This window comes from Homo sapiens, chromosome 2 (assembly GCF_000001405.40).
Source record: "Homo sapiens chromosome 2, GRCh38.p14 Primary Assembly".
In the NCBI taxonomy this organism is placed as follows: Eukaryota; Metazoa; Chordata; class Mammalia; order Primates; family Hominidae; genus Homo; species Homo sapiens.
In genome coordinates, this window is record NC_000002.12 from 167289711 (window position 1) to 167314130 (window position 24420).

The window sequence follows — 24420 nt, forward strand, 5'->3', positions numbered from 1 at the left end:
AACAAGTTATATTATTTAGGGAAATAGGCTTTATTTCAGGTGTAATTTACATCCAATAATAAAACATAAAAGTCTGCCCTTCATTTAAATTAAGATGCCAACCATTAAACTTGCATATTTTAATAATATTGGAAGTGGCATAGTGAAGGAACTAAAGGAAAAACATTCTAAGCTGGGCAACATCAACAAATAAAGTGTAACTGATAGTCAATTTATCCTAAAATTGGTAAAGGAACTCTTTGAAACTTAATATGTTCATCTTTAGAAATAGATATTACATATCCATAATGAACAGTGCCATTGTAAGAATTAAACTAATTCACATTTGAGAGAGGGTAGTATTTATCATTAAATTCCAATTCTTCACCTTTTAAGAAGGGCTTTTCTGCAAGAGTCCATTGTGGCTTGTAGTTTCAATTATAAGTTAATCCTCATCTCTAAGAAAGGCAGCTATAGGTTTTATTTTGTTTTTAATCTCTACTTTACATATAAGGAATACTGGGAAAGTTTAAGTGACCGACCTATGATTACTCACCCAGACATAACCAGAGCTGGAACTAGACCAATTTCTCTCACTTCCTATTTAATTTTCTGCCTGCTAGATGTAACTTTTGTCATAATGGATCCCAATGAAGTATTCAGTTCCTATTCCTAATAAATATAGATTTTCCACATCAATTAATATGAAGTTATTTTACATACTTTCAGGATTAGGTCAATCATTATTGACCATTATTGCTGGTACTGACCAAGCCAATTTCTGTCACTATTAACAAGTGGAATGAATTCTCTCATTGCACAAGGAGAAAAACAGACATATCCGTAGGCCAAAAAAAGTTATTAAATTTTCTTATTAAACAGTCATATAATTAAGTAACACTGGACTTTCTGTCCAATATATCCCATGAAATTCATAATAATGCATGAAAACCTACTTAACATGCAATCTTTTCAGATACTTTAAAAATTTTGTCTTGGTTTTTCATCTTTACTGATTTTAAATATTTCATGGTTTTCACCATTAGTACGTTGTTAATTATGAAGTGTTTTTTCTCAGAGCTGCTTATACAGCATTAGTGATATGGTAGCAATAGTGATATGAGATATTAGTGTTATATCTGTATGCAGACTGTTGATTTTCTTTAGCTTTTTTGCTTCTGTAGGATAGTCATTTAATTGTCTTAATCTCTAAAAACACGGTACATAGGACCCATGTATTTTCAAGGATAACTGTTGCAAAATATTGAATAACATGGAAAGATGATATAAAATACTGGAAAATAGCATAATTGGCAGGGCATGGGAGAATGGTTAGAAAAATCATATTGATACTTGTGCAAGCACATTTCTGCAAGTTTCCACATAGCTTACAACATTCTAAAGTCAAAATTAGCTTTTAATGGAAAATCATTCAAAACTTACCTTTTATCAGGCATATTTCTAAACTGTCATTGCATTTTAATTTTGATTTTGAGATTTAAGTTTTAAGATTTCTACATTTTGCAAATATCAGCTCCTCCCCATGAATAAAATATATTTTTGAATAAATATATTTTTCTTTCTCTCCCAGATTTCAGCTTCACTCTTTTATTCCTTTATTATTCATTTTTCCCCTTTATTACCTCATATAGTCAATTAGGGTGCTGATTTTATGTCATTGCACAATAATAAAGAACTACATATACAATTTCTGAAAACAAAACAACAACAAAAACCCCTCTCTAGATTAAAAATCTAGTGTGGTGTGGTCCATATTCTCTGTTTTTAGCCTTTAAAAAAATGAACTTATCTATTAGCACAGCCAGTTCTTTTAAGAAGAGATCATCTGGCTCCCAAACTACATTGGTCAAATTACTGAAGGGGAGGAAGGCATAAGAGAATTGGAAAAAACAGTGATGATATGCACATAATTTCTATAGTACTAAAAGATGGCAATACACATCTATTTTGCAATCAAATTTTCCTCATAATGCTAATAAAATTTAGACAGGGTTTGTTTTGGTGATCACAGGATATATGGAGTTTTTAAAGAGTAAGGTAAGTGAAGAAAAGGGTGATTATTATTGCAAACAAAAAGGATCCCTTAAAAATACAATTAGCAAGAAGAGCTTCAGCATCATAGCTAAGACACATTGAATTCCAGCAATTTGTCAACTATGTAGCTGATATACACACTTGATTTTTGACCCTCACAACAACGTTGTGAGGTGGGTATGACTATTTATCAGAGGGTCACTTTGGGAAGGTCCCAAGCTTATTACAACCTTCATGTACAACTTTTTTTTTTTTTTTTACTAGAACATTGTAATATAAACTTATTGGTAGAACTCTGAGCCATTCAGACATATTTGTACTAAAGAAACTAAAAATGTTCCATAAGGGAAGATCATTACAATTTAGGGGAGAGTGGTGCAGAAAAACATTTTGTGGCTTTTGTTTTCTTTTTCTTTTATTGCTAAATAACATTACTTCGCTAGTGTTTGAGTCAAACACACATTAAAAAAAACTATTAGAACATTCAGACTTGATTATCCAAAGAAAAAGGAAAAAAAGGAAGCCAACCAATTAGGGTGGCTGCTTAAATTATCTTTCCCCATTCTCAAGGTTTTTTGTTTGTTTGTTTGTTGCGTTTGGGGTGGGGAGGTGAGGGGCGTTTATTTGGAGGGAAGACGGGGAAGGTCCACTCTGCCTACAACTCCGACATTTCTCCGTGTGCCTCTTTGCTAGCTGGGGACACTTCGTGGCTGATTACTATGAGGAGTGGTTCGAAGCCTAAGAAGTAGTACTCTTTTCAGCTGCCAAAGGGAGAAGGACGGGGGCGCTGTCTGGTGACTGTTCGCGTGATTCCTTCAAGGCGGCGACCACCTCCTGGGATTCGCTCTCCAGCCGCGCCGTTCGTACTCGGGTCCCGCGACCCCTCCCCGCTCCCCCCTCGCCCCAGCGATGCCAAGACGCTGAACCGCAGGGACGAGGCTCTGGGGACAAAGTCACCCCGCGGCGCCCTTTCCTGCCAAGCCGCGGGCTCCTGGCGGTCAGAAAGCGCCCCAGGCCCACCCCTGCGGGCCCGGCTTTCCCTCCTCACCTAAGGCTCCGGGGCCACGAGTCCCCCATCCTGCGCCCCTCCCGCGCCTCCCCCATCCCAAACCCCAGCAGCGTCGCTGCCTCTCCCGGAAACAAGCCCGCTGAGCAAAGGCGGAGGAAAACCTTGGGCCTTCCGCTCTGATTGGTCTCCCCCCGCCGAGCGGGGCGAGGCAGCGATTGGCTGCCGGGCGTTGTCAGTCGCCGAGGCCAGAGCCATCGCCGGGGAAGCGCAGCCGGGCTCGGGTGCTTCGGCTGCCGCCGCGGCTGCTCGGCTAGTGCAGCTGGGCGAGCTCGCGCGGGCGCCGCCGCCGCCTCTGCTGCTGCCCACCCCGCCGCGCCGCCGGCGCTGCCGGTCTTGCAGGCGGCCGCCGGGGAGGGGCGGCCGAGAGAGCGGAGCACGAGGAGGCGGGGGCGGCAGAGAAGTGATGCTGGCGCCGGGGATCGGGGCAGCGGCAGCGGAGCAGCAGCATCTTCGGGACCCTGGCTGCAGCGTCCCTGTGGCCCGCGCGCCAGCCCAGCGGCCGGAGACCACGCGCCCCGCGGGTAAGGTTCTGTCCGGCAGCGCCCGCGACGCCCCCGGGACGGCTGGCGTGGTCTTTGGGGGTTACGAGGCGCGTGGTGGCCGGGGCATCCCGACGAAGGTGTTGGGACCCGGACTGCGTGTCCCGACGCTGGGCTGTGCTACTGCCCGCGCCCGTGCGGCTCCAGCTGGTGCGTTCTCCCTTCCGCGCTCACAGACTTTGACAGCGCGGGGATGGCATTGTGTGAGTGTGGATGTGGATGCGTGTGTGCGCGCGCGCGGCTTGGGGCACTTTGCAGCGAGAACAGTGGGTCCCCTCTGCGTGGCCCGACGTCCTTCAAGGACCCAAGCTGGGCTGGAGTGAGTAGGATGCTGTTGGCTCGGCGGGAGGTAGAACGCACGGAGCGCACGGGAAAGTCCACCGTGGCTCGTAAAGAGCCGAGCAAATTGAACTTTATTGCGGTGATTAAAAGGAGCTGTGGACCTGGCGCGCCAGGGGAGAGGCGCGTTCCACGAGGCTCCCCAAAGTCCCACTTTGCCCCGGGGACTTCGGAGGGGAAGGGAAGAGAGGGAAAAGTAACTGTTGGTCCACATTGCTGAAGAAAAGGAGGAAAGAGAAGTTGGGGGTGGGGGTGGGGGTGGAGGTTACTCTTGGGGGAGTGGCGACTTTTAGGTGTCTGAAGCCCCGCGTGGGAGGCTTGCTACACTTTTCTGGAGCGCAGACTTGAGGATGGAGAGTCCCACTCTGAGGTACTGGTAGCGGCTCCTCCTGCCTGGTGGCGGCGTAGGGCGCAGCGGGACAGCTTGGTGGAGGCAGAGCGGGGCTCCGACGCCCGACGGCCCGGCGTCCAGGTGGGGCCACTGCCTCCCCAGGCCGCTTTGGCCCGCTGACCTCCCAGGTTGAGACCCGGCCTGGTGCGCCTCTGGCAGCTGCCAAATGCCTGGCGGCTCCGCTTTCCGACAAAGTTCAGGCCCGCTGGGGTCTGGTCCATCAGACCTAGGACACGTTAACCACGCAGAGTAACCAGGTTAGGGTACCCAGCTGCCTCCAGAGCGTTTTTGTTTCATATTAGATTATCTTATTTGATAAAGCTGTTGAGAGTTCCACCCGTGCTGCAAAGCCTTCCGCAGAAGGCGAATTCTTTGCGCTGCTGCAAATGGATGGTGCTACTGGGCCAGATCCGAATCTCCGTAGTTCAGTGCAGTGGGTTCTCCATCCCTGCTCAGGACGCACAAACTTACTCTTGGCGATTGTTTTCTATGTGGCTCCTTGTCTCCGTGGGAGTATCTGCTTAGGAAAGTTCTTGAAATACCTCAATACTAAGGAGCTCTCCCCACTGTCTCAGATGGGGCGAGGCTCCGGTACTTGACTGGCGTTGGGGTTGCAGCAGGGAATGGAGGTGGAACATCAGCTCCCTGCCTGCCAGCTTTGGTAAAACAAAAATTGGCTCAATACAGGGAGGCGGATCTTGAACTGGGGACAGCATTTTTCTTGTTATGTAGCTCCGTAATCTCTTTCACTAGAGGGATCTTTTGTCCCAAAACAAAACAAATCACAACACAACAAAAATACCCAAAACCAAACCGCAGAAACCACTTTGATTGGGCTCATTTCTGATTTGGTAAACCAGAGAAAATGAAAGTAAGGCACGTAATAGAAATGCTATAGAAAATCAGGAGGGAGCTGTCCAAATATGTCAGGCATTTTTCGATAGTTATTTTTCATTGTAAAGATTCTATTTTCTCCCAATTTAACAACTAAGTTATTTTAAAGCAGATGAATAACTTACGATAAACTAGTAGTGATGTTAGTTTTGGGTCCAAGGATGGTCTCATGGTTTTCATCACTTAATTGTTGTGCTGTAAATGGATTTTTTTATTATGATTTTAGTCACACATACTGCATTTGGACTAGTAAAAAATTGGTGCTAAGTATTTTCTTCTTAGCATTCATCATGTCTGGCTTAAAAGTGTGGTTTTCTGATATGATTAAAGAAAGTATATAGTTTGTGGTGGTTGTTCTATACAAAATTTACCTGCTTCCAGGTGATTAATATTGCAATATTTTAGTTATTGAAACCTTCAGGACTTTGTTAAGGTTACTAAAACAGGCTAAGCAGTTTATGTTAGTTTTGTGTTTCTTTTATGCAATACTATGTGCTGGTAAAACTTTTTGTTTTCCTCATAGGTTAATATGGGGGAAATAGGATTAAAGTGTGTTATACTTATTAATTAACAATTTTAAAATAAACTTCAATTAAAACTAAGCTATCAGTAACAGCCAGTACTAAAAATGGAACTTCTAAGGAAAATTTTAACGACTTGGCTAAGAAAGTGCTTTTTCACCTTGACATCAAGTAACATTTTATATATCCACTGCATTATGTATTGGAGTAAGCCACAAGTCTTAAAATGGAATTAAGAGCCTTTGTGCTCATTTTAAGGTTGTGTGTGTACGTGTGTGTGTGTGTGTGTGTGTGTGTGTGTGTGTATGGAACTTTTACTTGGAGGAAATCTTTTTTTAGATAATTTTAAAACGAGTAGGACAAATATAATCAAGTACAGAGAATTGTGTCAATGGTCATAAATATTAGGATAAGGCCATAGGAAATATGTTTAAGCATAAACAAATGATGCAGAGTTGGGGTTGGGGGTGGGCACAGGCTTTAGGGAGCTAATGGGTAGTGCCAGCCACTTAATTTATACAAGCAGTTCAAATTGTACCATTTCTGCGAATGTACTTAAGCTTTAACTTGTTTTGCTTCAGGGCAGCCCATGAGCTTAGACTGCCATATATTCTAGATGAATTTTAGTAATACAAGTAATGTCAACTTGTGAAGACCCTAGGCCACTAAATTCACTTCTTGACTTGTACAAAATTTTAATTTTAATACTCATCGGATAACTTTTCTAAGAAGATCACATCAATATGAATAGCAATGCTAATAGATACAATTATTTTATGAAATAAAACTTATTTAATTTGTCAGATAGTCACGATTAGTGTTTGTACGTGAATAGGTAAGAAAGTGAGGTTTATAGCGATTTGTTTTAATTAATAGTGAAATCATTCTTTTTCTAAAACTAACAATGTTAGGGGAATTAAAAACTTCAACTGGTTAGTAAATCAGAAGTTCATTCTCATTTTTTCTTTGTCTCTTTCAGTCTGTCTCTTTCTTTCGCTCTCTCTCACCACACAAAAACACATGCATACTAGAAAGGTTCTCAGAAGGAATTTCGCCATGCTGCATTTGAAACAAATTGACTAATCTATTCTGAATGATGAATGTGCATCATAAAGGAATATTCTCGTTCTCTTTACTAATCTATTATTATGATACTGGTTTATTCAAATAACATTTAACAAATTGTACTGTGTTCCTACTATGTGCAAAATACTGTTCTGTTTGCTTTGACTGTGTGAATGAATACATACACTATTGTATGAATTCAATGAATACTTGTATGAGTAAATCACACAAAGATCCCCACCCTTTTGCAGTTTATATTCTATTGGGGTGCAATAGATCATAAAAATATAGTGATAACTTATATAGAATATTTATCTCCTACCAACCTGTTTATTCTAAGATCTAGATCTCATGGACCAATCTCTTTCCATCTCATTTTCTCTTGAACTTATATGTCCCCACTCATATATACCTACACAAATTAATGTAAGAATGGAAAACTAATACATATTGATCCTGAAGCTATGTATGAGAACAATAACACTGCGTAATATGTGAGGGTTAAAGGCAAAAAAGAGAGATCTAAAGATGATTATTCAGCAATAACATGATATGATATCTGTCCTTTAAAATATCTTTAAAATCAAATTATAATATTTTCAGAGGAACTAGAGGACAACATTATCTTTTAATGTAATGGTTCCAAATTAACAACATTTAAACAAAATAACAGTATTTATGACTGTGCAAAGTCAAATCTACAGAACTTCATTCAAAAGGGATGAGTGAATTTTAGTAGTTAGGAAAGATTCAAAAGCATGTTTGTAATGAGAATTCTTCTTTCTCTTCCACATTGAAGGTATCACATTTATGTACCTCTGTAAAAACTGATTAAAAAAAAAAAACTAGGTTTTGAGGTCAAAGTTTCCTTAAAGTTTATGCATCAAAAAAATAAAAAGACTCATGATCTGATCATCTAGTAAGAAATGCTGAAACAACAATTTTCAAGTAAGCTTGTCTTTAATTAAAAATAGATTTGCGTATGCAGTCAGTCCAATTACAGATCAAACTTTGCTAAATTTTACCTAGATCCCAGGTTCTATTCTTTTATGCAAAAAAAGCTGTACAATTATGATTCCAGTTTCACTTTCTGTGCTTCTGTTTCATTACTTTCTTTGGGGTCTTTAGCTTACATCTCAGAATTATTACTTATCCTCATATGAAGAATGGAACCTAGCTTGACTTTCAAAAACCAGTTTGCGAACAATATTTTCATATTAGACAGAAGCTGAAATTATACTCCGAAGAAGTTATAGCACATAATGAATTAGTGCCAACTTATTCACAGGTCGTATGATTACAGGACAATAGTGCAGGGTACATCATTCAAGAAAAGCCTTCAAGATTGCTGCTACCCACCCCAGTTTTAGGAGATGGAGAAAGACTTTCTGATATTGTCAACTCAGTATTTTATTTCTCCAGATTCAAGAATGCATTCAGCACTCATTTAAGCCTTTATCTTTTTTGCCCTAGTTTTTCTTCTTTCTGCCTAAATGCAAAACTTTAGGAAAACAATGTTTTTAAACCACAAGTAAACCAACAAATGGTTACCATATCTAGCACACTCCAGCTGATTATGAAACTGTTAATGAGAGCTAAGCAGAAATCAGGTATTTAGAGCTGGGAAGAACCCAGGTGATTCTGCAACTTCCTCTATGTGTAAGGAAGAACTTTACTCCAGGAAGTTGATATTTATTGCCAGTTCATTTGAGGTAGAAGATCTAGAAACACTATTTGTTAACGATGAAGTATATAAGTTAACACTTTGCCAGTTGCTCATTAAACAGTTCTACATTTTGTAAAATAAATAATAGAAATGACTGCATCTACTAGTTTGTGCATTTTATTATTTTAATATCTGACATACTATTACATTGTGTTAATATTATGTTGGGACCAAGAAAATGAGAAATTGGGATACATTTAGAGATGTCATCTAAGATTTATAAGGCTGGACGTAACTTTGCAAGTAAAATATTTGTATTTACTTCATTCTTTATGTCTATAGCATACAGATGTATATACTCTATATACATATATTTATAGACTCTATAGAATTTAGTTTATAGAATATAATGGATAGAATAGAATTGCTAAAATAGGATTTCTTATTTCCCTCTTCTTACAGGACCTTTTATTTCCCAAGGTCAATCACTTTGGATTTCAATGTGATTGACAGATGAACTTCAGGGACTCCAGAAAATACCAAAACTGTGTGCAGTTTTTTGTTACTGTTTTTCTTGAATGTTCTAGAATGAGAAAAAAATGCTTAAGAAAATTTAAAAGCTACTGCATTTTTTTTTTAAAAAGAGCAACAACAGAAAAACAAAAAAACTAGGTAGAGAGGGATAACTTGCATGGATAATGAGAGAATTTTAAACAATTAAAAACCTCTTTCTTGGTTCTCAAAGAAAAGAAAAAAACAAACCTATTGCTAGATTCTCTCAGAAAACACCTTCCACAGGGGTTTGAAGAGACATATCATTCTCCTAAAGTACTAATTTGAAACAGAAGAGATGGTTTATAACTGATATACTGCACTTAGTTTTAATTGTACTTAGTGTTTTGTTTAGTCTTTGGCTATGAGATGTTTCCTAGACACATATAGATGACATCAGGGCTGAATCAATTCCTCACTGAACAGTAAGTCATGTGGGTAACTTTTCTAGGACCCTAGCACCCAGGCAAAAACAACTGCCAGAGGTAGAGGTTGTTTGCAAACAATTAGTTGTAAATTTAGATACTACTAGACAAGAAGAATTATACTAAATGTTCACAAATGCACCATGGCTTTGTGAATAGGGCATATGAACTAATAGTTAGGCCTCCTCAATTCTGTATCTGTCTATGCCAGTCATAGGGCTTGTGAGTATGTGTCACAGTTCATCACTACTTTAGTTTTTATTTTTATAAAATAGTGATAGCATCACTGATTGCTTGAATTCCAATTTTTGAGGAATTAGATGAAAAATATGAGTAATGCATGTTGATTTCTCTTGAGTGAACACAGCTAATGATAAACAGGAAAGGTGCTGTATTTTAAAATAAGCAACAATTAACAAATAATAGATTGCATTGATAAAATTATTTTAGTTATTATTTTGGCCTAATTTCCTTTATGCAAAGAAATAAAAGATAATCTTTAGCTGACTAAAATACAAAATAGGCAGATCCTGAAATTATTGAAGGCAGCTAAAAATAGTCATTTTTTCCCCTCTGTTGGTTCCTTCTTTCTCTCTTGGTCTCTCTCTCTCTCCATATATATGTATTATTTATAAACATATATATATGTGGAATTTATATAACATATATTCTTTTTTTAACTTTATATATTTTATTTATTTCTTTATTTATTTTGAGATGGAGTTTCGCTCTTATTGCCCAGGCTGGAGTGCAGTGGTGCCATCTCGGCTCACTGCAACCTCTTCCTCCCGGGTTCAAGCAATTCTCCTGCCTCAGCCTCCCGAGTAGCTGGGATTACAGATTCCCGCCACCACGCCTGGCTATTTCTTTTGTATTTTTAGTAGATACGGGGTTTCACCATGTTGGCCAGGCTCATCTTGAATTCCTGACCTCAGGTGATTTGCCTGCCTTGGCCTCCCAAAGTGCTGGGATTACAGGCATGAGCCACTGTGCCCAGCTGAACTTTATATTTTAAATGTTATAAAGAGTTATTTCAATGCTGCCTGAAAATTTCTCCTGATTTTATGTCATTGTAAGCCAGGAATCAGAAGCTATTAAAATTCAAAAGCTTCCTAAGGGACATTTTTAATAAATGTAAATAAGTAGAGAAAAAGAGTAATACTAAATGTATATATATATTCACATATATACATACAGACAATCACAGTTAAATTCCAAAGAGATTGTTGTAAAATGTACAGATATTCTAAAGTTCATCTACAATAACAAGTAGGTTATAACAGCAAAGGATTTTAACATAAAGAACGCATTAAGGGAAGTTGCACTTTCAAGTATTTAAAGGTATTACGAGTGATGATTAACATGCAGACAAACATGCAGAAGAGAATAAATGACCTCAGATGCAAACTCTAAAATATGCAAAAATAAAGCACAGTATGAAATAATCACAAATATGTGGGGAAGTACAAAATGATTAATATATGGTTCTGGGAAAACTGAATAATTATTTGTGAAAAATGTAAACTCCCTACCTCACACTGCATTCTAAAATATCAGATGAAGGGAGGGTAAACATAAACTCTAAGACAAGCTAAGAGCAAATAAAGACTCTATAAACAGAAACATAATGGGGAAAAGATTTTACCTTATAAAAGTTAACAACTTTAAGTTAAAAATACCACAATTACAAGTAAATGGAAAATAGAGGAAGTACATTCAACATCAGTGTCTTCTTCTATTAGAAGACTTCTCTCAATATAGAAATTCCTAGTTTATGTTCATCTCCTTTAGTGGACTGAAAGCTTCTTGAAGAAAGAGGCTCATATTCATCATTTTATTCTGAGCGCATTGAATATAAGTTGGGCACAGTAAGCATTATCATTGGCTACTAAAAATTATAAGTATCCTATCTAAAGGTTGATCAAGGCAATGAAAAACAAGATGGACTACAGATACTCCTAAACTTCTGGTAAGATTCTTCATTGATGTTTACAGAATTCTTCAGTTGCATGCTATAGAAATCAGTCATGACTAAATTAAGGAATAAGATCCACAACAAAGGAAGGTATTTTGAAGCTTATAGAATCAAAAGAAAATGAGAGAAAACAGAATGGCTGCAGAGAATATGAGAGGAAATGATGAAGTCCTTTCTGGGTACCATCACTGATGGGCTAAATCAGCATCAGTACTTTTTCTGATCATGTTTCTGTGTGCTTCAGGCTCAAATTCCTAGAATAGAAAGTGTGACTTTACTAGCTTTGGTTTCATGACCATGCCTTAGTCAGTGGATCATTGGGCACTTTGATTACCAGTCCTACCAAGACCACATTCTTTATGTTTGTTTGTTTGTTTATTTATTTATTGAGATGGAGTCTTGTTCTGTCATCCAGGCTGGAGTGCAATGGCACACTCTCAGCTCACTGCAACCTCTGCCTCCCAGGTTCAAGCGATTCTCCTGCCTCAGCCTCCCTAGTAGCTGGGATTATAGGCATCCGCCACCACACCTGGCTAATTTTTTATTTTTTAGTAGAGATGGTTTCACCATGTTGGCCAGGCCAGTGACAAACTCCTGACCTCAAGTGACCTACCCACCTGGGCCCCCCAAAGTGTTGGGATTACAGGTGTGAGCCACTGTGCCCAGCCAAGACCATAGTCTCCTGCCCAGTCCAAGATCAAGGGACTGTAAATAGCAGAAGGGAAAAATGTCTCCTCAATAGGTAAAAACAACAGACATCCACAGGGTGTATCAAGATACTTAAAAATACTCTTTGTTTCAGTAATATCTCTTGTAGGAATTAATTCCATGGAATTAATCAGAGACATTTGTAGTAGTGTGATGGTAGAAATAAACTATTTGGCCAACAAAAGGGGAATAATTAAATTGTGGCATACACTATTAAATCATTGATTTTCAAATGTTGATAACATTGGAAAATGGTGATGAAATAATAGTGAAAAAAGCAGAATACAAAATTTAGTATGAAGAAGGACTCTTGATTTACATTTATAAAAATGGTTAAATGAAATATTAACATTTGTTATTTTTGCATAGTAGGATGATAGGGATTTCATTTTTAAGTATATGAAAATGTTTTTGCTGGGAACAGGCACTACTTTAATGATCATTAAAAAAATCTATACTAAAAAAAACTGTAAAAATGGGTGAAATGATAATGGCTTTGGGCTCCAGACAGCTGTACTAGAAACAAAACATTGGAGTGATATGCTTAATTTTGGAAGGAAAGGACTAAATTGTACAAATTTCTGTTTTCTACATTGTTACTATATATTCAGTGATATCTGGTTAATTTCATAGTTGGTAACTTTTCAGGGGTAATTTTAGACTTTGCTTTTCACATCTTTATCTTAATGTAATTGAACTTAAGATGTATTTGCATTTTGTAATTAAAATAAATTTTTTTATTGTCATATCAGGTTAAAAAAACAATAAAAATAATTGCATGTGTTTGTATATACGTGTATCTTATCAGTTGTCCTAATTTGTATTAACTCAAGCTTAAATTGAGACAATATGAGCTATTCTAGTCTAGCCCAGTTATTTATTAAATACAATTAAAGATTCTGTTAAATATGATTATAATAAAGCTAAAAATCATGCTTCCTTACATAAATCCAAAAACAAATATCATGGAAAGTTTTGATGTTTTTTCTCTTGGCTCATATCTGTAGCTCACAAATTATAACTGAAAGAAGAACAAAGGGTTTGGGCAGAGAAATAAATGGAATTTTTCTAAAAGCATAAATACGTTATCTTGTAATATATTTTTGAGCAGCACTTTGGTATATTGACTGAACTCTGCACAGAATGATTTTGATGATCTCATGAACTATATTTGAGCAAATAATAAAAATATTGGAAAAGAATAAAAGAGGAAAAAGAAAATTGGTTGATCATTGGTTGCCTTGTAGCCATTGCCCTCTTCTGGTTCATGAGAATGTACAATCTGACAGCTGGTTTCTTTTCAGAACATAAGGTAGGGCCAACTTTGTAGTTATTTTTTCCTTTTGTGAAATTTATGTGTTTAATTTTATAATAGATAATATATTATACAACTGGTTCCAAAAACACACAGTAAAAATTCTCCCTCTCGTATCCTTCCCCATATACTTAGTTTTCATTCCTCAAATAGGTAACCACTCCTACCAGTTTCGTGGTGTTTGTAATTGTTAACTTTATGTGTCAACTTGACTGGTCTAAGTTGCCTAGGTAGCTGGTAAAACATTATTTATGGGTATGTCTGGGAGAATACCTCTGGAAGAGATTAGCATTTAAATCATTAGACCAATTAAAGAAGACTGTCCTCATCAGTATGAATGGGAATCATCCTGAAGGAAGCAGAAAGGTAGAGGAAGGGCAAATAGCTCTTTCTGCTTGAGTTGAGACATCTGTTTTCTCCTGCTCTTGGAAACACACACATACACACACACACACACACACACACACACACACACACACAGAGAGAGACCTTGTTGCTGCCATTTTACTGGAGAACCCTAATACAAATTTTGGTACCAGGAGTGGGATGAAGCCTCAGGATATTGAGCACTATCTTGCATAGTCATGACTTCAGGGGAAGTCATTTTTGTTTCCATGAGCAATTCAGAGTTTATCCCCTCAGACTGAGCTGGAAAGGCCAATGCCACTGTGGGTTGGGAGGTTGTTACCAATAGGAGTGAGAGGCTGCTTCTACTGGAGATGGAAAGGATGCTTTCACTGGGTTGGGGAGACCTCTTTCCCTGACAAAGAAGACTCATCAGAATTTATAAGCTTACTGTCCCCAGCTTCATCAAGGTCTTCCATACCTTCCCATCCCAATTTACAGTATTCCATTCTTCCCCAATTAATACCCTTACTTTACTAGTAGATACTCTGAAAGGCTGGAAGTTGAACTTGTAATTCAGCTAATCCCAGGATGAAGTTCTGTGTTTGATTTTCAGCAATTTCAGCCCTGCAGATACAGGAGATAAAGCTCTCCTTCATGGGAGAAGAAGAAGCTCTTAAGTCGTTTATGCAGCACTTGAGCTGGGAATTCAAATCCCAGAGCTCACCACTTTGTCTAGCAACATGATTATATCCCTTAGTTTTCAAAAATATTTGAAAGTATCATGTACAGAGTCCCTTAGCTCTTTGTTTCTTGTAAGTGGTTGATTGGAAGTATCCAGTGCAGTATTTTATGTATTGTTATACTCAGTGTTCTCTTTACCAGTGGAAATAAGGCATTAAATTAGCACCAATAAATCTAATCAGATTAGAGAGCTAAATCCAGAGATCCCAGAACCAATTCAGAAAACTTATCCTTAAAATTCTGTTCCTCTAGAACCACTCTTGGCAACAAAATCTGTTATTCAGGGCTCTCTAGAGAAACAGAACCAATAAAGTATGTGTATGTGAGCATACAGAGAAAAAGAGAGACAGAGAGAGGAGAGAGAGAGAGACAGAGACAGAGAGACAGAAAGAGGGAGAGACTATAAGAATTGGCTCAGGAGAGACAGAGAAAGAGAGAGAGATTCTAAGAATTGGCTTATGTGGTTAGGGGACCAAGAATTCTCATAATCTGCCATCAACAGGCTGGAAAATTAGGAAAGCTGGTAGTATTCAGTCTGAGTCTGAAGGCCTGAGAATGTGGGGAATCAATAGTGTAAATTTATGTTGAGTTTGAAAGCTCAAGATCTAAGAACATCAGTGTCCAAGGACGGGAGAAGATAGCTGTCCCACCTCAAGCTGAGAGCAAATTCACCCTTCCTCTGACATTTTGTTCTATTCTCACCCTCAAAGGATTGCATAATGCCCATCTAGGTTAGTGAAGATGATCTTTGTTACTCAGTCTACAGATTCAGATGCTCATCTCATCCATCTGCACAGGCACACCTAGAAATGTTTTACCAGCCACCTAGGTATCCTTTAGCTCAGTCAAGTTGGCACATAAAATTAACCATCACAGTATCTTTCCAGATACTGTGCCTATGCACATACAGACACGAAATATTTTCTCACCAATTTTTAGACAGTTGTTAATATATATATATATTTTGCTTCCTGATTTTTAAACACAGCAATCTTGGAGGACTGTCAAAGTTTACAAGAGCTTCCTCATTCATTTTCTCAACTCCATCATATTACCTTTGTTGAAAGTGCCATAATTTATTTATTATGAGACAGTTCCTACCTGATGAACAATTAATATTTTTTCTGATATTTTGGTTAACACAACCAATGCTGTAAAGCTCTTGTGCATATTATTTCACACGTGTACAAGAAACTAAAGGACCTAGAAGTGGAGTTGCTAATTTAAAATGTATGTGTGCTTGTTCACTGTGAAAATGTATGTGTATTTATTTTCACATTTGATTATCTTGCCTTCCTTGTCTTCAGTTGCACGGTTAATAATGCTGAATAAGGCTGGACCAAATACCTGGTTTCATGGCATTTGTCTAGAGGCCCCTACCCAGGTTTGCACTTATCTATTAGCGTGCTTTGTGTGTATACACATTTATTGTGAACTAATCTCATTTGATGATCTTTCAGCATCTGTTTAACTATCTTGACCACAAAGATAGCCATGAGAATAAAGAATTTCTGTTAAATTGTTCCTTAATTTCAGATTTTCTCCTTTGCCATCCTGCGGTCTACTAGACTAAATTATATGAAGAATATGAGGACTAGTTATTCACCTACTAAATAACAGTGTTAAAAATAATCATGTTCTGTGTTGGCAAGTATGCTGTGAATCTGGTGCTTTCAGATACTCTTTGGTGCAATTGAAATCGGTATAGCCCTTTTGGAAAACAATTTGGCAGTATGTGGGGAAAATAATTATAAAAAAAATTCTTACTGTCTAATGCATTAATACTACTTCTAGGAATCTATTCTAAGGAAATAGTACAAAATATGGAAAAGGTCATATGTTTGAAGATGTTGATGAATGTATTATGTATAATAAAAAATCAGAAATAACTCAAATGGCCAACAATAGACTTATGCACATACATTTGAGAATAATATGCAACCATTAAGAGTAAATATGTGATTGTAATAAAATATAAAATGATTATAATAAAATATAAAAATGCACATGCTTTAATGTTTCTTGGGGATAATATGGTACAAAATTACGTACAAGTCCTACTTTAAATAGGCAAAATATACACATATGAACACTGAAATTATAAATATGTTGTAAAATGGTGAAAATAGAGATGATTTCCTCTTTATTTTTATGTCCAGTTTTCTAGAATATTTTATAACTTTAAAAAATTTTTAAATGAAAAAACAACTATTTTCCCTTTTGACTTTAATATTTTGCACTGAATATTAGTCATGGTTTTTGATAGTTTTAACTTATTTCTCACTATTCAGTAGTGTGAGATTTTTCATCTCCTTATATAGGTGAGTTTATCACAGAGTTTGCATGCAATACAGTGCATGTTGTCTTCAAAACTGTTCTTTCATTGTCTTCTATGTAACAAAGTGCATCTTAATCACGGAACTTCCTTTCAGTCTCATTTCTCATGATATTCTTTTTCTTTTAGAAGAACAAATTCAGACATTTTGAACATTCTCAGCTAGCTTCCTGACTTCTCAAATTAATCTAACACTCTTTGCCCTGCTCAGTAAGCACTTATGCTGGTCTTTCTCTTTCTTAAACCCACTAAGCCTCATGGTTACTATTTAAACATTTTAAAGAGATACTGTGTCTCTTATAATTGGTATTCTCTTTTAGAATAATTACTTAGAAAAAAGGCAATTATGATCATATTTTGTAAAAGTTTACCCAATTGGACCATCTCCTAATCTTTTTAAAATTCTGCATATTTCATTGAAATAAATTTAGGGAAAATTAATAAGATAGCAAAAATATTATATTTACCCCACAGATTTGATATATCCTAAAAAAGATTACCCATGGTAGTGGTATATGTTCAAAAAAAGAGCAAATAACTAAAATATAGTGGAAAAGTTCCCTTTATACACGAGTTAATTTGAAGTGAAATAGGAAGAAACAGTGTGAAGTATATATGTTTCTTCACTGTCTCTTTGGGGAATGAATGTGGTAACATTATCTCTCTTTATTGAAATGCATTTTATATCATAGCCTATCTTATTCTCTTTGCTCAGTTGATTATCACATTATCTTCAAAGTATTAAACTCATAGTTAATTTCAGAGAGACTACAACAAGAATATGAGTGTCATCTTATGTCTGAAGCATAACATTTTGTAGTTCTATGTACTTATTTTTCCTGTCAAGTGAAATGATTTTGGATTTCTCAGTAATAAAGATGTTATTTTCTAAGAGTGCACTAATAAGTAGATGGAATCATTTTGAAGTCATGGTGGACAGTGAATGGTGAGGTGGTTATCAAAAGGACTTGCGTCTGCCCCAGCCCCTGTTCATGGTTTGCCAGGACTGTCATCAGAAAATATTAATAGATGGAATGTTAAGGAACCCATTCTGTTTTGCTTATATAGTGCTGAGCCTCTTTCTTTTTCCTCTGCTGTACTGTTTAGGGATGTCTCTTCCAAGATCTTCCCTTCCCTTTTCCTGTTCAAATTCAGAGATTTCACTCTCTACTCCTCTAAATTCCCCACTCGTACCAGTTGATAGTTAAAATAGTTGTGAGTCTTGTTACTAAAAAGACCTTCAAAAGCTTTCCAAGATAGAAAAACATATTCATTTAAAATTGATTTTATTGTTCAATGTTGAGTCCATGATTAGGAGTAAATATGATATAACAAAACTTGAAAATAAAGTTAAAATATTAATTTAGTAAATGGGAAAATAGTTGCTATCCCATCAAGCATTTTGTGGAGAGTAATATTAGTAACACAAAATAATTGTTGGAATGTTACTGTGTGTTAGAAATAGAATTGTTAATCTTTTTATAGGCATTATATTATTGAATACTTAATAAAACCTTAGGCAGTAGATGTTACTATAATAATATCTCTATTTTATAACTGTTGGGACTGAGAAAGACATATAGGTTATATAATATTTACAAGCTCAAAACTGAGTTTTTGATAGAGCCAAGAATTTAATACCAGAACCTCAAACAAAACATGTACTCCTTTTGTTTATTAGTTTTTGAAGTAGAATGGTATCTATTACTAGAAAGGAGATGTCAACTGAGCAGGCCTAGGGTAGTCTAATAAGGGAAAAAACTGCCCTATCTTTCTTAGACATCGACTGTAATTTCTGCCTGTATTATTCATATCTTCTGTCATATACTTTACTATGCTATTTTATTATTTTCCATTTCAATATAAAATTGAGAAATGAAGTAACTGATACTTTAACATTCCATGTGAAAATCCCTCCAATAAGATTCCTTCTATGTAGTCAGTTGAAAAATGAAATGAAGAGATTTGGCTACTACTATCTAATGTTTTTTTTGAAGGGTATAGGTGAAGAGTAAGGAGTTGAGCACATTTCTTCTAAGATTTTTTTTAAAAGGCTCATTTCCTGTTAGCTTTTTCCCCTTTTCTTTAGTTGGCAATGGGAAATGACATCCTGTACTTAATCTTCTCTTTAAATCAGATCGGATATGAGAACTATACAGTGCCATCAGTGGCCTGGCAAGTGACTTGATGGCTGATCCTTTTCATCTGTACGAAATCCTGAAAATAACCAAAAATATCTAAAACAATGATGTCAGTATTCAGATTCTCAGTGATAAACTCCTTTTGGACTGTGGCATTATGCTTGGACCCTTGTTTCCTAGATGTTTTTAGTCATATTCATTGTCATAGTGATATCGGCAACTTTACCAGTTGCAAATGTAACATATTCAGTAATACCTGGCTTAATATCCAAGGTGCCATGAGTCTCAAACGAGTTCTTTTCTGTTTGTTAAAAAATTAACCCTATTAATGTTTTATGTCAAGAAATTGACTTGTCATAGCTCATAATTGAAGGAAATCACAGCAGAGACTGTTAAAAGTAACTTGGTCTATATTTGGTGCTAGATGCTCTAGAGCAGAAAGGTTAGATTTGGCATTAATCATTATTCCTCAATTTTTCTTTCCTCACATTTGTTTTGCTTTCTTTTCAGTTACTTTTTATACATTCAGGGCTAGTTCTAAGCTAAATTAATGTACTGTAAAGTTTCAAATAAATAGCAAGAGTTGAGAATTTCTGAGAATGAAGAAATAGATAATATACAAAAGATAGAAACTTAGAGTTTATGGACCTTAAAATTACATACCTACTTCTTTGGTATTATTCTATGTTTATGAACCACTTTTTGTGTATGTGGCAGAATCAGTATATATTGCACACAAAATTTCATGTCCTAGTGGGACTCCATAGCTACACTGATCTACCTCTTAAAAATTATTTAGGCTGTTTACTAATCTCAGTCATCTAATGATTTAAAACATATAGCATCTGTATTCTCTTTTGCTTTTGAAATCACATTTATAACTCTAAGAACCCAATTCATTAACAATGAAGGGTAAAATAATCTGCAAAAAAGTTAAGTTGATAGTTTTGACAGATTTCATTAGGCAAATACATATTTGACAAAGTTAATAATATGGTACTTTCATTTTGACTTTTAAAATAGGTATTCAACAATGTGGAAAAATATTTAGATAATTCTTATTTATAAATTTTATTCAAATGTTGGTTTTCAGTAAATGGTATTGTCCAAAACAGGCAAAAACCACAAGTCTACTAAACTGAATATTTGGATACTGCATGCATGCAGTACATACTAGTTTTAACAGCAATGTCATGTACATACCACAAAAGAAATAAGGAAGAATATATAAAAGATTTTCTGAGTAGAGATAACAAGCAAACTGTTTTCATTTATCAAGTTACAATTAATTTTTTACACAGGATGCATTATTTTCACTGATTAACTTATATTTGTATTGGTGAGCCAGTATCTCAAAAGCAATAGACAAGAATATATAAAAGATTTTCTGAGTAGAGATCACAAGCAAACTGTTTCCATTTAGCAAGTTACAATTAATGATTTTTTTTTCAACAGGGCACATTATTTTCACTAATTAACTTATATTTGTACTGGTGAGCCAGTATCTCCCTTGACAGTGTTTGTTTATTTACGTTTGAGAGAGAGGGAGAACATAAACAGTGTTACATCTCAGGTAGTATGATTGCTATGAATAAAAACAAGACAGAGAAAGGGCAAAAACACTGATGGAAGGATAGGAAGTGTATTTTTGAAGGGGTAGTTAAGAAAGATTATTTGCAAGGTGTGCTATTTGATCAGAGACCTGGGTTAAATGAGGGCCAACCCATGATAATAATTTAAAGAAAAATCTTCCAGGCAGGGTTTTTGGGGAAGGAATCAAACCGGTATCCTAGAGGCACCTCAGGCAATCTGGCTCCTGGAATGGCCTAAGTGGGAGTAGTGGTTGGAGATAAGAATTCCCTAAGTGTGGTTGGGGAGGTAGCCAGGGCCTGCTAGTGAGCCCTTTGTAGAATGTAGAAAGGATTTTAGTGTTCTATTTAAGGGTTTTGAATGGGAAGGTGGGGTAATGTGTTCTCTGGCTGACATAAGTAGAATTGATAACAAGAAAAAAAAGAAGCCTGCTGGAAGATGAGTTAAAGGCCATTTCAGAGACCTTGAGGCTTAGACTAGACACTCTTCAGTTGTGTTCAAGCACTTCTGGAAGTTATTTATTTTTTTTGCTAATGTCTCACATTTGATTCAACATTTTATATAAGGACAGTGGCAGAAACTAAGGTGCTGTGGACTGATTTGGGAGCAGTTTTGTCCATTTATCATGGTTGTGCATTTTAGTTTTCCTAAGGCAACTTATCAATAATTAGGACATTAAAATATTTAACTACATAAAAGTTAAATATGCTAAATAACATTTTCATTTTCTCTTTAGATTTAAGTCCTACTATAGCATTTATCATTTTATTTGCCTTTTCTTCATTTGGTTATTGCTTGCTGACATGCAAGTATTGAGAGGAGATATATGCTATAGTTATACACAGAATGTTATTGTGTACATAGATTTTAAAAGTTTTGTGTCAGTTCAGAATTTGAGTTACAAAGGATAGATATCCAGTTAAAAATAGCTTGCAAAGCTGCGTAATACAAGGGGCAAATTCAGGCATATCTGGATAAAGAGTTTGAACTAGGGAAAATGAGATCATTCCATAATTATCTATGGGTAAAATGGTAAAACAAAGAGGGAAATGTAAATATTTGAATCAAGGAAAGATTATATGAGTGTTCTATGTTCTGTTTTTATTCTTGCATCTCTTTTGTAATTTTTAAAATTTTTTCGAAGTGAAAAGTTAAAAAAATGTAGATGCACCAGGACTTAAAATATTTAAATAATCATATGTAAACTATAATATAGCTCTATAAAAATAAATATATACTTGTTATTTTTATTGAGATCAAAACTCAAACTTGAAAATGTCTGTAAAGGTGACATAACATACTTGAAAAAGAATCATATTAAGATTATGAATTGGAAATGCTGTAATTGAAACTAAGTATTCACTGAATGAGTTTAATGGTAGATTAGATCCAATAGAGAGATCAGCGAGCTGTAACTTGAGGCAGACAAAACACTAAATATTATAGCAGGAAGATATAGCAGGAAAATAAAAGGAGTGTAAGAGAAGAAATAGTGGGAGGACCTTGTATATGCATTTAATTGTAGTTCCAGAAAAACAGGAAAGAGGCAGAAGCAGTATCTGATGGGATAATGCCTGAAAATTTTCCAGAACTGTTTTTAAAAAGTCAGTTCAAAAAGAAAAGAAAAATAAAGTAAACCACACTTAGGTACATCATAATAAAATTCCAAAAACAAAAATAAAAGAGAAAAAGAAAAATTTATGTTGACGGATTTGGAAATGTTCTTAAAGCAAAAAAAGTAATAAAGCCAGTTTCAAACAAAACTAAACAAGAATCCTGAGTTTATTAATAGCAAACCTATATTAAAAGAGTTACTTTATGTAGTAGGAAAATTATCCCAGAGACGTAGGAAGCAGTAAAGAGCAAAGAAGGTGGTAAATGTATGGAGAAATCTAAATGAAATTTGGTTTCATAAAATAATACTGAAATTGAATAAATTGAATGGAGAGAATAAAAAACAAAAATAATATGAATCAAGGGGAAATTAAGTGAAGTTAAATTGGTTCTTTGGCCCTTAAATTATTTGAACAAGGACGTAAGACTTTGATAAGTTAAGGATGCATGCTGCAATTTTTAGAGTAAATCTAAGGGAGCACAAAAGTGTATAAAAATAGACAAGAAGTAAAATGCTCAGTACAAAGAACACTCAGTCTAAAAGAGAACAAAAAAACCGAGAGAAACTGTAACATAGAACAACAGGCACCAATAGAAAATGTAAGATGGTGAAGTCACATCATAATATTTTGATAATGACATAAAATACAGATTGATTACATGGTCTTGTTTAAGGATATAGACTGTCAGATTGCATTTTAAAAATTAAACTGTATCCTGTTTTCAAAGGAATATCTAAAACATTAGGTTATGGACAGTTTGAAAGGAAGAAGGTGGGAAAAACTATCACTCTTCACTTTGATTCTGTTTGAGCAGTGACAGTTCTTTTCAAGATAGCACAACAGTTTAGGCATGGCTAGTTGTACCACCATAAATCAGGAAGAAATGTCATGGTACTGTTACAATTTTTTAAATTATTCTGATAAAACATAAGATTCAATTCACAAAATATACATAAGTAGGATAATTAAAAATACTACAAAGAAGGGGTATAAAACATACCATTACATTACGACTACAGTTCTATTTTAGTAGTTTTATTCTATTTATCTGGAATTTATTTTTCCCTCTCACTCCCTTAAAATATACTTAACTTCATTAAGCAGTTTTCCAATGTAATAATCTGATAGAGTAATTTGCCAGATGCTACAACAACTTGGATTAAACAAGTCATGATTTTCTGCTTATTCATGGAAAAGCCAGAGTACCACCACTTTTGCCATCTTCTGTGGAGATCTTACTAACTCTCCCCTTGGAGTAACTTGTACATTTTTGCCTGGCTGTTCCCTACTTTTTATAGAAGAAGGCAGAGGGCATATTTTGAGATCCACATCCCAATCCCTAAGCTATCATTGAGTAAATAACTAAGTGTTGATTCCAGTAGCCTTACCTACAAATTTGACAGAGTATTCTTGACTATGACCAATGTGTTAAACGAGTAATAGAATAGTTTTAATTTAAACATAAAGAGATACCTGTATATAGAAAAACTAAGGATATTTTCAGTATCTTAAGTCCAGGCTGGACCTCCCAGTCCAAGGGGATTCTACAGACCCTAGTTCTTTGAAGACCCTAGTCTAAGAGGTCAGATAAAGTGTCCCTCCAATACAGATCATCCCATTCGTTTCTTGAACTGGTTAAAGCAGAAAGAAAAACCAGTTCTCAGCCCAGTGTTTGGAAGCTGTCATATGGCCTCTCTTGGTTTGAGACTGTCTATCAGTGCAAGGTGGTCTCTGGTCCTATTTCTGTTAATGAGTTAGGTTCTCCATCACTGTGATCCTGACAGATGCACAACAAGCTAGTTTTCCAACAGAAAATATCCTTCCTTTAGAGACTTCTCAAAGTCCAGGTCACTGGGAGTCACTTAGGTTTTCTTTTACCATTATTTCCCCTTGGCCAAAGAAAAGTAAAACTTGTCTCTTGATTGCATTTATTTAAATCCTGTATTATGTTAAGAGTATGTCTTCCCACTCTGCACCCAGTAATAGTAACGCAGGTTTGTCAGTAGGCTAACATCCTCAGCAAGATCATATCGTGTTATGAGCATCACTGGATGGGAGATTGGAGGGTCTTAATACTTTACACACAAAAGACTTTGTCACCAATATTAATGTGATGTGCTTTTGAACCGAGCTTAGCAGTGAACATTTTCAAATGC

The 24420-nt window shown here is 36.1% G+C and overlaps 1 protein-coding gene across 2 annotated transcripts in view, besides 3 other annotated features; it reads left to right on the forward strand.

Annotated features, from left to right (window-relative positions):
• Nucleotides 2557–3170: an enhancer, noted in NCBI's record as "H3K27ac hESC enhancer chr2:168148777-168149390 (GRCh37/hg19 assembly coordinates)". NCBI's record gives its function as "activates a minimal SCP1, AML or CMV promoter by ChIP-STARR-seq in primed H9 embryonic stem cells {active_cell/tissue: H9 hESC(primed)}" and the evidence as "EXISTENCE:reporter gene assay evidence [ECO:0000049][PMID:30033119]".
• The window catches only part of B3GALT1 (beta-1,3-galactosyltransferase 1), a 581045-nt gene continuing 559915 nt past the window's right edge, over nt 3291–24420 (forward strand). For both annotated transcript variants that reach the window (XM_011512085.3, NM_020981.4), the window contains exon 1: nt 3291–3624. The gene's annotated coding sequence lies outside the window, so the exon portion shown is untranslated. The remainder of the gene's footprint in view (nt 3625–24420) is intronic.
• Nucleotides 3406–3455: a silencer, noted in NCBI's record as "silent region_12070". NCBI's record gives its function as "represses an Ori minimal core promoter by ATAC-STARR-seq in GM12878 lymphoblastoid cells {active_cell/tissue: GM12878}" and the evidence as "EXISTENCE:reporter gene assay evidence [ECO:0000049][PMID:35858748]".
• Nucleotides 4399–5011: an enhancer, noted in NCBI's record as "H3K4me1 hESC enhancer chr2:168150619-168151231 (GRCh37/hg19 assembly coordinates)". NCBI's record gives its function as "activates a minimal SCP1, AML or CMV promoter by ChIP-STARR-seq in naive H9 embryonic stem cells {active_cell/tissue: H9 hESC(naive)}" and the evidence as "EXISTENCE:reporter gene assay evidence [ECO:0000049][PMID:30033119]".